This window comes from Homo sapiens, chromosome 16 (genome assembly GCF_000001405.40).
Source record: "Homo sapiens chromosome 16, GRCh38.p14 Primary Assembly".
NCBI classification, from domain to species: domain Eukaryota; kingdom Metazoa; phylum Chordata; class Mammalia; order Primates; family Hominidae; genus Homo; species Homo sapiens.
In genome coordinates, this window is record NC_000016.10 from 56577580 (window position 1) to 56591503 (window position 13924).

Sequence of the window (13924 nt, forward strand, 5' to 3'; positions counted from 1 at the left end):
GCTCACGCCTGTAATCCAGCACTTTGGGAGGCCAAGGCAGGTGGATCGTTTGAGCCCAGGGAGTTTGAGACCAGTCTGGGCAACAGAGCCCCATCCCTACAAAAAATACAAAAATTGGCCAGGCATGGTGGCTCATGCCTGCAATCCCAGCACTTTGGGAGGCCGAGGTGGGAGGATCGCTTGAGCCCAGGAGTTCAAGACCAGCCTGGGCAACATAACAAGACTCCATCTCAATTGTCAAAATATTTATTAAAAAAAAAATTTTAATACAAAAATTAGCTGGATGTGGTGGCGCGCACCTCGCTACTTGCGAGGATCAGGCAGGAGGATCACTCGAGCCCAGGAAGTCAGGAAGTCAGGGCTGCTGTGAATGTTTGCACCACTGCACTCCAGCATGGGCGACAAAGTGAGACTCTGTCTGAAAAAAGAGAAAGACAACCTTACTCACAAAAAGATTCATTGCAGTACTATTTACATTTGTGAAAAACTGGAAACAACCTAAAGTCCAAGTCCATGAAAACGTTCAAGTAAGCTAAGACTATAAAAAAAACAAAAACAGGCCGGGTGCTATGGCTCATGCCTGTAATCCTAGCACTTTCAGAGGCCGAAGCGGGCAGATCACTTAAGGTCAGGAGTTCGAGATCCACCTGGCCAACATGGTGAAACACCTGTTTCTACCAAAAAATACCAAAAAAAAGTAGCCAGGAGTGGTGGTGCACACCTGCTACTCGGGGATGCTGAGGTGGGAGAATCGCTTGAACCCTGGGACAGAGGTTGCAGTGAGCCGAGATCGTGCCACTGCACTCCAGCCTGGGCGACAGAGTGAGACCTTGTCTCAAAAAAAAAAAAACAAAAACACAGAAAATGGTTATAGCAAAACCTAAACAGATAATAGGCCATAAATTAGTTATGCAGTAGTTTTTCAAAAAGAAGCCACATAGAATACAAAATATACTATCCTAAATGTCAACAGGGATTGTGTTCAGATCACAGTAAAAGATAATTTTTACTTTTCCTTCTTTCTGTGTTTTAGAATTCCCCAAAATTTTCTGAAGTAGCATGTTTTAAAATAAATAAATACATTCTGAAAAGGAAAAAAAATAGTGTGTATTCTTTGAGCCAGAAATTTTACTTTAAGAAATGTTGTATGGAAAGGAAAAAAACAACCATGAATATACACATACAAATGCTCCCAAGATGTTTATCATGGCATGGATTATAATAGTGAAGATTTGGAAACAATCAAAATGTCTCAAAGTAGGGTACTGGGTAAGTCAATTATGGAATAAATCTATTAAAATAAAATTATAGAAGTGAAATTCATGTCATGGATGTTCATAATCTACTGATAAGCAAGAAATAAAGTCATTTATAAATCAGCGTGTACTGTGGGCTTCTAATTTTATATTTAAAGGGGTTATATATGTACTTTTCATTTTTTCCAGAATTTTCTACAATCAACAAAGAAGGAGGAGGAGTTGAGGAGAAGAGCTAGATCCAGGTGGAGACCCAGGTGTTTTTAAAATCTGAGGCACAGATGACATGAATTATCAAATTTAATTTTGAAGACAAGGAAAGGATAGAATATTTGGAATTGAAACCTTCTTGGAAAAGTTGGGCCATTTGACGACAAGAGATATAGGCTAAATGGAGGATTCCCCCTTCTCTGTGCCCAGCCTTACTGTCCACCTTCCCTTGAAAATTACTTCCCCTATGCAAAGGATATAAACAGACACTTCTCAAAAGAAGACATTTATGCAGCCAAAAGACACATGAAAAAATGCTCATCATCACTGGCCATCAGAGAAATACAAATCAAAACTACAATGAGATACCATCTCACACCAGTTAGAATGGCAATCATTAAAAAGTCAGGAAACAACAGGTGCTGGAGAGGATGTGGAGAAATAGGAACACTTTTACACTGTTGGTGGGACTGTAAACTAGTTCAACCATTGTGGAAGTCAGTGTGGCTATTCCTCAGGGATCCACAACTAGAAATACCATTTGACCCAGCCATCCCATTACTGGGTATATACCCAAAGGACTATAAATCATGCTGCTATAAAGACACATGCACACGTATGTTTATTGCGGCACTATTCACAATAGCAAAGACTTGGAACCAAGCCAAATGTCCAACAATGATAGACTGGATTAAGAAAATGTGGCACATATACACCATGGAATACTATGCAGCCATAAAAAAAATGATGAGTTCCTGTCCTTTGTAGGGACATGGATGAAATTGGAAATCATCATTCTCAGTAAACTATCGCAAGGACAAAAAACCAAACACCGCATGTTCTCACTCATAGATGGGAATTGAACAATGAGAACACATGGACACAGGAAGGGGAACATCACACTCTGGGGACTGTTGTGGGGTGGGGGCAGGGGGGAGGGATAGCATTAGGAGATATATCTGATGCTAAATGACGAGTTAATGGGTGCAGCACACCAGCATGGCACATGTATACATATGTAACTAACCTGCACATTGTGCACATGTACCCTAAAACTTAAAGTATAATAATAAAAAAAAGAAAAGAAAAGAAAATTACTTCCCCAAGTGTCCTCCTTCGATTTGACATATTTGAGCCCCCAAACACCTTTGGGGGCAGGGGCAGCTCATGACACTCTGCATTTGACAGAGGCCAAACATGCAAGTTGGCCATAAGGCCGGGATTGCGAAGCAGGTCTTTTGATTTCCCTGGCTCTTTTCCCTACATGTTTGAGCTGCTAAAAATCAAGACAGGGTTGTTACAGGAAAAAGTGGAGCAGGATTTCTCAGCTTTGGCAATATTGACATTTGGGGCCAGATGAGTCTTGGTTTTGGGGGATTATCCTGTGCATTTTAGGATATTTGGCAGTATCCCTGGCTTCTATCCATTAGACACCAGTAGCACCACTGTCCCCAAAACGCTACCACTATCAAAAATGTTTCCAGACATTGCCAAATGACCCCTGGGGGCAAAACCACCCACTGCTGAGAACCACTGAGATAAATGAGGTGTGAGAGGGATCTTTGATGCCCCGAAGTCATTCCTGGGAGAAGGGAATGCTGCCTGTTCCTGCATCTGGGAAGCTAATAATTAGGAAGGCAGAGAGGGGATACTGGTTTATGTAAAATGGCGTGGGTGCTACCAATCTACTATGCAGACTCCTAGCAGCATTTTGATCTTTTCTTTTCTTTTCTTTTTTCTTTTCTTTTCTCTTTTCTTTTCTTTTTGCAGACTCCTAGCAGCATTTTGATCTTTTCTTTTCTTTTTTCTTTTCTTTTCTCTTTTCTTTTCTTTTCTTTCTTTCTTTCTCTCTCTTTCTTTCCCTCCCTCCCTTCCTTCCTTCCCTCCTTCCTTCCCTCTTTCCTTTCTTCTTTTTTTTTTTTTTTTGAGACAGGGTCTCACTTTGTCACTCAGGCTGGAGTGCAGTGTCATGATCCCCGCTCACTGCAGCCTCGACCTCCCGGGCTGAAGGGATCCTCCTGCCTCAGCCTCCCAAATGCCTGGGACCACAGGCACGTGCCACCACACAGCTAATTTTTTGTAGAGACGGGGTTTCACCATGTTGCCCAGGCTGGTCTTGAACTCCTGAGTTCAAACAATCCACCCGCCTCAGCTTCCCCAAGTGCTAGGATTACAGGCGTGAGACACCACACCTGGCCCATGTGTTGATCTTTTATTAAGCAGCTTTCTCTTTACCCAGGCTGTGGGTTCTTGAAGAAGGACATTCTTACTAATCTTCGTATCTGGCATTCCTAACACAAAGTCTGGATTAAGGTGATGCTCAACAGATGTTTGTGGTCTGAAATGAAATTCACCACCATGTTACTCTTTTAAGCCAAGCAGGATGGTGGGGGCTACAGGGTAACTTCATGGCTCTGTATTTAACTAAGCCTGACTCTTCATGACTCAACCTTCAAGGGGTCCCACAAAAATAATTAGCCCAAAGTCAGACTCACTCAATTCTCACAGGCATTCATTCACTCAACATTCAAAGGACATTTCAGGTACTCAGGGAACTTTGCTAAGCACAGGAGTGGGGAAGGGAAGGAATCATCCCTCTTAGTCCCCAACTTCAGGGACCTCAGAGTCTGTCTTGGAGATGTCAGAATGTCTTGTCTCCTCTCCTGTAGGGGAGAATATATCTAGACAAGACCCCACAGAAGTGCCAAGGAGGGGAGGTTACAGCTGGCTGCAGGCAGGAGTGAAGACTTCCTGGAGGACATGGTATTTGAGCAGGGCCTAAAAGGATATGTAGTGTTTTTTTTTTTGTTTTGTTGTTTTGAGACAGGGTCTCACTCCGTCTCCCAGGCTGGAGGGCAGTGGCAAGATCTCAGCTCGACGCAACCTCTGCCTCCCAGGTTCAAGTGACTCTCCTGCCTCAGCATCCTGAGTAGCTGGGATCACAGGCATGCGCCACCACACCCAGCTAATTTTTGTATTTTTTGTAGAGACAGGGTTTCACCATATTGGCCAGGCTGGTCTCAAACTCCTGATCAAGGCGGTGATCTGCCCGCCTTGGCCTCCCAAAGTGCTGGGATTACAGGCATCAGCCAATGCGCCTGGCCTGAAATTTCTTTTAAAAGGAAATCTCATATCACTACTGTAGAAGAGATGCTGAATCATTTGCCATAAACAGGAGGTAACCATGGAGACAAATACAGAGAACATAAAGCCAAGTTATTAAATGTCTAGCTAGATACTGTGGCATGGTAGGGCTCCCCTGTTCTTTCCTGACTCCTCAGCCCATTCTCTGTTAAAAAGGGGAGCTGGGGTCAGGCACGGTGGCTCATGCCTGTAATCCCAGCACTTCGAGAGGTTGAGGCAGGAGGATCACTTAAGCCCAGGAGTTCCAGACCATTCTGGGCAACATGGTGAAACCCTGACTCTACCAAAACAAACAAACAACAAAATACCCAGAAAACCACACACACACAAATTAGCCAGGCATGGTGGTGTGTACCTGTGGTTCCAGCTACTTAGGAGGCTGAGGTGGGAGGATCGCTTGAGCCAGGGACGTCAAGGATGCAGTGAGCCATGATTGTACCACTGCACTCCAGCCTGGGTGGCAGAGCAAGACCGTCTCAAGGAAAAACGAGGGAGGGAGGGAAGGAGGGAGGGAGGGAGAGAGAGAGAGGGAGAAAAGCTGGGCACTGAGAGACAGAAGGAGAGGCACTGAAGACATCTTAGCTCCAAGCTGAGTGTCCTTGGAGCAACCAGGAAGATTCATTAAGACTGAAAAGAGAATAATTTTTAATGTGATTCAAGGTTATTTCATACAATCATCTCACTTTGGGAAGCTAGACCAGTGGAATCAGGCTTGGAGTCAAGAGACATGGTTCAGGTACCGGCTTCATTACAACATTGCTGTGTGACTTTGGACAAAATCTATGCTGTCTCTGAGTTTCCTTATCTACTAAAATAAGGCAGATGGTACTCATGGGATGAGTTTTCAGAAAGAATCTCAGGATCCCTACTCAAACCCTGGTGTAAGTGGGGCAAGGATGTCATAGGTGAGCGACAGCTATCTGGGCTCTTTACCCAGGCTGTGGGTTCTTGAAGAAGGACATTCTTACTAATCTTTGTATCTGGCATTCCTAACACAAAGTCTGGATTAAGGTGATGCTCAACAGATGTTTGTGGTCTGAAATGAAATTCACCACCATGTTACTCTTTTAAGCCAAGCAGGATGGTGGGGGCTACAGGGTAACTTCATGGCTCTGTATTTAACTAAGCCTGACTCTTCATGACTCAACCTTCAAGGGGTCCCACAAAAATAATTAGCCCAAAGTCAGACTCACTCAATTCTCACAGGCATTCATTCACTCAACATTCAAAGGACATTTCAGGTACTCAGGGAACCTGAGCTAGGGATGCGGGGGTAAAGGAATTTACCAAGACAGTTGTAGATAAAGGAAGGCAGATTTATTAAAGAAAGTATGAAAATACATTGCCGGGGAGCAACTGGCAAAACCAGCAGAAGAGGAACCGACTGCAAGGAAGCAAAGGCTTTCTGAGGATTTTATAGAATGGAACTTGGGCTGATTGATAACACCAATGCAGCAGGGAGCTTAACTTGCATTCTTTCCTCAGCGGGGGTGTTTGATAAATTGAGGTGTTTGATGGTAAGCAGGAAGTCTGCGAGTTATGTACGTTATCTGCATGGGAGGGCCGTATGTCCTGGGCCAAGGTAGACCTAGAACTTATTTGCTTTATCTCTTTGCTCTCTCTGGTCCCACCAGTCTGACCCCTTTTCCCTAATTAGGATTCCACAAAGGATAGGACAGGGGAGGGGGGCATTTTGCCAACTTGAGGGCAAGATCTCGGAGCATCAATGATCCAGTGAAAATTGGGAAGACAACATCACAAAAGACCTAAAAGAATGTAGGCTCCCGGAAGCTAGTTCCTGTGGCTCACAGTGACTGCACTAAGCTCAGAGATTTGGTCTCCTCCAGATAAGTGCTGGGACCCCGTTGTTGTGGGCTGGAACTTGGTCCGGGCCAGGATCTGCTTGGAATGGAGAATCTACCTTCACAGAGAGGTCTAAAGTCAGTGTTTTGTTTTGTTCTATTCTGTTTTTTTGTTTTTGTTTTTTTGAGATGGAGTCTCACTCTGTCACCCAGGCTGGAGTGCAGTGATGCAATCTCAACTCACTGCAACACCTCCCGGGTTCAAGTGATTCTCCTGCCTCAGCCTCCCGAGTAGCTGCAATTACAGATGCCCGCCATCACGCCCAGCTAATTTTGGTATTTTTAGTAGAGGCAAGGTTTCACCATGTTGGGCAGGCTGGTCTCGAACTCCTGACCTCAAGTGATCCACCCGCTTTGGCCTCCCAAATGCTGGGATTACAGGCGTGAACCACCGCGCCTGGCCTAAAGTCAGTGCTTTGATGTTCTCTTGTGTGGAAAACCACATACACTATCACAGGCCAGGCTGTGGGCTGAGTCAGGACTGTGCAGGTCATGTAGGGCCTGAATGGGGCATTTCCAGAGGTCGAGGACCTGCCTTATGGGTAGAGAGAGGAGGCAGGATGACTTTCTTTGTTGCAGATGAAGATTCCGCAATTCCGTAAAAGTTTGCTTGGGGTATCAAAGCATTATCAAGTATCCAGGAGCCTGGCGGGTAGCATGCCTAATAACTAGAATTCATAGTGGATTGAATTAAAGACATCGGGGCAGGCTGAAGAGTAATGCACTTAGATTTAAGTCCAGGGTCTGCCTCCAGGACAAGCCACTGAATCTGAGCCTCGATTTCCTCCCTTGCAAAAGGGAGTTAGCAATGCCTACCATAAGGGTAACTGGAAGGAGTCAATGAGATAATATGTGAAGGAGTCAGTGAGATAACATGAGATCAGCTCCCCATGGTGCTCTATATGGTACCTGGCACATGGTAAACTCCCAGCAAGTGGAAGACATTGTCCATAGTAGCCACTAGCAGTCATCTGGTCAACCCATGTGAAAAGTGGGGCACAAACTGGGGAGAGGCTTCCTTGGGTTCACTACACCACTTACTAGACAAGCTGAAACTAGAAACCACGGGACTTCTAGACCCCCGCCTTTTCTCTAGCTTCAGCTTCCCTGTGCACAAAATTGTTCATTAATAAATCCGGATCTCTCCAAGAAATGACTTTATTTGTAGATTTGCATATTTGCAAACTCTTTTTGTACACTGTGTGCCCAGGCTCCTAAAATCCTAGCCAATTTTTCAGTCCCAGGATAGTAAATTGGGAAACTCTTTGAGAGCGATGCAATAGTCTTAATCCTGCACTGGACCAATTTCAGTCAGGGTGTGGGCTTGCTGGGGGTCTTGCTTTTTTTCTGAGATCATCTGGGGATCATATGGGGATGGAAAATCCCTTAGTGTGACCTTGAGTGATCTCCACCCCTCAGCCTACTGGTCTTGCCTCTTGGCCCCAGTCTAATTGAAAAAGTTAAAGTTTCTGTGAACTCCCTTCTGCCAGGAAGCTCTAGGATTGGGCGCAAGGTCTCGATTGAGGACTGATGTCTATGACTGGTGGCCCATGCTGATGTCTGCAGTACTGTATCAACTACAGGCCACAGGTGACTGTGTTTCAGGAAGCACAGAGCTGAGGCCAACCATGAGACTGGGTGTCAAGCAGGAGCTTTAGGAACCCAGGCCCCCTGCAGAGTCCTCACCTGACTTCTTCATTTGTAAATGGTGAGAACCAATGTGGTGAGGACCCTGCTCCAAGTCTTTTCCCAATGCCATCCCATTTAAGTCCCTGACAAATCTATTAAGCAGGAACTATTATTACTATTAGTATTATTTTCGTTTTACCATTGAGCAACTCAAGGCACAGAAATGTTAAGTTGACCTAGCTAGTAACTTGCTATGGTGTTTGTTTGTTTGCTTTAGAGAGAGAAGGGGTCTTGCCATGTTGCCCTGGCTTGCCTTGAACTCCTGGGCTCAAATGATCTTCCTACCTCAGCCTTCCAAGTAGCTGGAACTACAGGTGCACGCCACCATGCCTGGCTGCCGTATTACTATTAAGCGGCAGAGTCACACTGTAAACTCAACTAGCATGACCTCAGACTCATTCATTCATTCACTCATCAAGTAAATGTGTCCTGAATGTCTACCACGTACCAGGCACTGTTATAGGCACTTCAGAGACACCAGTGAACAAAAACAGTGATCCTTGCTCTTTCTTGCTTAAATTCTAGCAGGAGACAGACGACATATAATCATTACAAATAAGTAAATTATTTAGTTTGCTAGTAAATGTTAAATGCTATGGAAAAAGGGAAGATAGAGCAAGGTAAAGGAGATGAAAAGTACTGGGGCATCGAGGCATGCAATTTTACGTAGTGTGATCATGATGGGCTTCACAGAGAAAGCAGATTTGAACAAAGACTTAGAAGTAAAGAAAGGAGTGACTTGCATGGTTATCTGTGGAAGGAGAATCACAGGCTACGGAAACATAGACAAAATAACTTTGAGCTGTTTTTTGTTTGTTTGTTTTTTGAGATGGAATCTCGCTCAGTCGCCCAGGCTGGAGTGCAGTGGTGCGATCTCGGCTCACTGCAACCTCCGCCTCCTGGGTTCCAGTGATTCTCCTGCCTCAGCCTCCAAGTAGCTGGGATTACAGGCACCCGCCACCATGCTTGGCTAATTTTTTTTGAATTTTTAGTAGAGACGAGGTTTCACCATGTTGGCCAGGATGGTCTCGAACCCCTGACCTCAAGTGATTCGCTTGCCTCGGCCTCCCAAAGTGCTGGGATTACAGGTGTGAACCACTGCACCTGGCCACTTCGAGATGTAAGAATTAACAAGGGGTCAGAGAGGATAAAGGTAGGGGAGAAAGGGACCTCCTGGAGCGATAGACCTGCACGGCATGCTCCTCATGGAGGCTTAGAACGGAAGGCCACATGGAGGATGAGGGGTAGGGGGTATCAGAAAGATGCTGTGGTTTTCAGACCCCTCAAAATCCTGGCCACCCTTGGGGCAGGAAGGAGGTTGCTATGCCAGCTCTGAAGCCTCAACCCCAAAGAAATCTGACAGACCTGAGGGAGATTGCAGGGGAGGCAGCTTCAGTTGAGTGCATCCCAAGCGTGAAGGTCCTAGATACAGAAACCCTGAGGTTCAGGGCCTAGGGCAAAGAAGTTAAGAGGCCAGAGTGCCCTTAGGCAAAATGGAAGCAAAGAAACAGATGACTGGCTGATGCTAGAGTTGGGGAACTCTGAGATCTGATATTCCAATTGTCCAGTGGCTGGAACCTACACTGTCCGTGTGAGAGCCTACACTTGAATATAGCCTCTGACTCTCCATACAAGGCTCTATTTTGGACCTTGGTTAGCCTTGGCTGGCCTGGCTACCCCTCTCCCGTGGTAGCACAGCATTCAGCTGCTCTCGCCCTGCACAGTGCGGGCTTTGCTTTAAAAATTCTCATCTCAGGATGAATTTCCTTATTGGGTTACTCCAGTGTGACTAGTTCTTTGTCAAACACCTCCTCTGTCCCTGCCTTCATTTGGGGGCCATCTTTTTTGCGGGGGAGGTACAGGGTCTTGCTCTGTCATCCAGGCTACAGTTCAGTGGTGTTATCATAGCTCACTGCAGCCTCAAACTCCTGGGCTCAAGCAATCCTCCCACCCTGGCCTCCCAAGTAGCTAGGGGTACATGTGATCCCCACCACTACTGGCTGATTTTTTAAATTTTTATTTTATTTATTTATTTTGTAGAGATGGGGTCTTACTATGTTGCCTAGGCTGGTCTCAAACTCCTGGCTTCAAGTGATTCTCACCTTGACCTCCCAAAGCATAGGGATTACAGACATGAGCCACTGGCCTTGGGAGTCATCTTAATGCTCAGCTCCACGTACCCCGAAACACAACCCCTTCTGTGAAAGCATTAGCAAGCAAGGAAGATTTTCAGAAAGTCTCAGAGGGACAGCAGAGAGAGTGACACTCACACACTTCACAATAACATTTTTTAAAATGCTTTTTACAGAGGTCTTCTCCCAGCTCTGGTCCCTTCTTTGCTGCCCCCCAAACTTCATCTAGACCCCTGAATGGCCCTCGTTTTTGAGGAGCAATGACCTCTCTCCTCTCCACTTCTCGGGGTCTCATTCTCACTCACGCTACCCTGCTCAGTCACAAATGATTCTCCTTGGCAGCTTAGACCTCTTTTCCTTTCATTTTGCACCCAAATCCCTTATATTCATATAAACATTGATCAATCTTATTTTACCTAGGCTCTCTTTTCTTTTTGAGACAGGGTCTTGCTCTGTGACCCAGATTGGAGTGCAGTAGTGCAATAAGGCTTACTTACTGCAGCCTCCTCAACCTCCTGGGCTTAAGCAATCCTCCCGCCTCAGCCTCCCAAGTAGCTGGGACTACAGGTGCATGCCACCACATCCAGATAATTTTTTTTTTTTTTTTTTTAGATGGAGTTTCCCTCTTGTTGCACAGGCTGAAGTGCAGTGGTGCGATCTGGGCTCACTGCAACCTCCGCCTCCCAGGGTCAGGTGATTCTCCTGCCTCAGCCACCTGAGTTGCTGGGATTACAGGCACCTGCTACCATGCCGGGCTAATTTTGTATCTTTAGTAGAGATGGGGTTTCTCCATGTTGGTCAGGCTGGTCTCGAACTCCCGACCTCAGGTGATCCGCCGGCCTCGGCCTCCCAGAGTGTTGGGATTACAGGCGTGAGCCACCACGTCCGGCCTCCTTTTTATAAATAGAAAAATCTCACTGACCTGCCTTGAGTTTAACATGCCCCCCACTGACAATCCCTCTAGATACCTGAGTTCTGAGTTCTAGGCCTGGCTCGGCCTCAGGCTTATTCTGGGACCCAGGCACATTTCTGCTTCTCTGGCCTCACTTTTTCTTATCTGTATAATGGAGGGTTAGGAGTCAAGGATCTGAAGATGCCAGGCAGGACAGCGGGGAAATGGAACACGCCCCTTGCCAGTGACACTCGGAGGGCGCAAGAGTCAGTGTCGGGCTCATCGTGAGCAGGTTCTTTCTGCCCCCAGTTCAGCAACCCGTCTGAACAGATCTGGCGTCCTGGAGAATTCTAGAATGAAGGGGAAGAGAGGCAGGGAAGAGCTGGGAAATACGCAAAGCGCCTTTTTCTCCACTTTCGGAGATGGTACGTGCGCGCTTCCACGCAGTGGCGGCTGCTGCGGCGAGCACGTCCCCTGCGGGACCCACGCGGGGAGTGGGCTGGCAGTGCGCGCACAGCGGCGGCGAGTGGGTCGTGCACGCGGATGCGGGGTGGGAGTGGGGGCGCACGCGCGGGCGTGGGCGAGCGGGCCCCGGCAGTGCACACACACGGCAGGGGCGGGCGACAGATGCAGTGCGTGCGCCGGAGCCCAAGCGCACAAACGGAAAGAGCGGGCGCGGTGCGCAGGGGCGGGCGCCCAGCGGGCTTGGCATGCGCGCCCCCGCCCGAGGCTATAAAAGCATCGCCACCTGCTGCCACTAGCCAAGCCGCGCGTCCAGTTGCTTGGAGAAGCCCGTTCACCGCCTCCAGCTGCTGCTCTCCTCGACATGGACCCTGAGACCTGCCCCTGCCCTTCTGGTGAGCCCCCGCCCCCGCTCGCATCCTGCGCACTGCGCGCCCTTGTACCTGCAAAGAAACCCACGCCCTGCGCCTTCGCTCAAGGACACTTGGGGGAAGGGCCCCTGATTCCCTATTCTTCACCTCGTGAAGGGCGGGCATGCCTGTGTCGCGGAGAACAGGGAGACTTGGCACCCCATCTCCTCGTGACAGGCGTGGGGACCCGAGTTCGTCCACATTAACCCTTCCTGTGGCGTCGCCCTCTCTAGGTGGCTCCTGCACCTGCGCGGACTCCTGCAAGTGCGAGGGATGCAAATGCACCTCCTGCAAGAAGAGTGAGTGCGGGGACCCTTCCCCTCTGCCGCCGCCCCCTCTGCTCTGCGGAGTCGGTGTCTCACCACGCAGGATGTGGAGAGACAGCCAGGCCCCGATCCCGTGGTTTCTGACTCTTGCTGGAATAGAACCACCCGGGCAGACATTAAAATACAGATGCCCCTGCCCCACACCCAGGAATTGATGGCCTAGGCGTGGGACGAGAGGTTTTTGTAAATCCCCAGAAGACTCCAATGGCAGCTGGGATTGAGGACTGCCACACTGGTCCAACCTTTCCCGACCCATCCCTCAAAAACTCCCCAAAACCTGGGGAAGCCATTAGTGAGGCTGCGGCTCAGCTCTGGAGTTCCGGTCCCTTGGCCTCTCTCCGGCCTTACGGATCCTCTCAGTTTGATCTCAAAATCTCCCCAGCTCACGGCAGTGTAATATGCATAGGGAGTAAGAGGTGGGAGGAAGGCTCCCTTCTTCCCTAGGTATGAAACCAGGCACAGGTCCCCACCGCCTCCCCACGGCTTTCCTGGGCCCCTTACATCTGCACCATATCTGCCCCTCCCAAGTTTATCCTTTGAGGCCCCTTTCAAGGTCGTTTACCCTGTGATGCTTTCTCCTTAAGGCCTAGTACCCACCTAAGCTGGGCTTAAGCCCACCAGCCCCCAGGACTTCCTGGCATCCACCCAAGGGGCTCTGGTCATTTCCTGGGTACCTCACTCCTGTGGAGGTGCAGGATGCCACTGCCGCGACATAGATGCTGAGTCAAAGCAGGTGTGAGACTAAGAAGGGGGCTGCGACTAGCCCTGGCTGAATGAACCAGGATGACTCCCCACCCAGCACCCTTCCCTCCCCTTTGATGGGGACGAATTGGGGGAGTGTGCATCAGAGAGTGGTCATCTTCCATTTTATCTGCAGGCTGCTGCTCCTGCTGCCCTGCGGAGTGTGAGAAGTGTGCCAAGGACTGTGTGTGCAAAGGCGGAGAGGCAGCTGAGGCAGAAGCAGAGAAGTGCAGCTGCTGCCAGTGAGAAGGCACCCCTCCGTGTGGAGCACGTGGAGATAGTGCCAGGTGGCTCAGTGCCACCTATGCCTGTGGTGAAGTGTGGCTGGTGTCCCCTTCCCCTGCTGACCTTGGAGGAATGACAATAAATCCCATGAACAGCATGAGCCAAGGACTGGTCTCTTCTTAAAGGGGGGAAGGATGTGGAGCAGTGGGGGAGCCTATTCCAAGGGAGCCACACAGTTAAGAGTGAAACCCTGGCTGGGTGCAGTGGCTCACGCCTGTAGTCCCAGCACTTTGGGAGGCCGAGGCAGGTGGATCACCTGAGGTCAGGAGTTCGAGACCAGCCTGGCCAACATGGTGAAACCCCGTCTGTACTACAAATAAAAAAATTAGCCGGGCATGATGGCATGTGCCTGTAATCCCAGCTACTCGGGAGGTTGAGGCAGGAGAATTGCTTGAACCCAGGAGGTGGAGGTTGCAGTGAGCTGAGGTCACGGCACTGCACACTAGCCTGGGCGACAGAGCAGGACTCTGTCTCAAAAAAAAAAAAGAAAAAGAAACACTGAGACTTGGCCACTG

General features: G+C 48.4%; 1 protein-coding gene across 1 annotated transcript; it reads left to right on the forward strand.

Moving 5' to 3' along the window:
- The first annotated feature begins 11948 nt into the window (after nt 1–11948).
- On the forward strand, nt 11949–13506 carry MT3 (metallothionein 3). The gene is made up of 3 exons (NM_005954.4): nt 11949–12042; nt 12291–12356; nt 13261–13506. Exons 1-3 carry the CDS (start codon nt 12012–12014, stop codon nt 13368–13370), a joined length of 207 nt encoding a protein of 68 aa, NP_005945.1. The 5' UTR covers nt 11949–12011; the 3' UTR covers nt 13371–13506.
- Nucleotides 13507–13924: the final 418 nt, after the last annotated feature.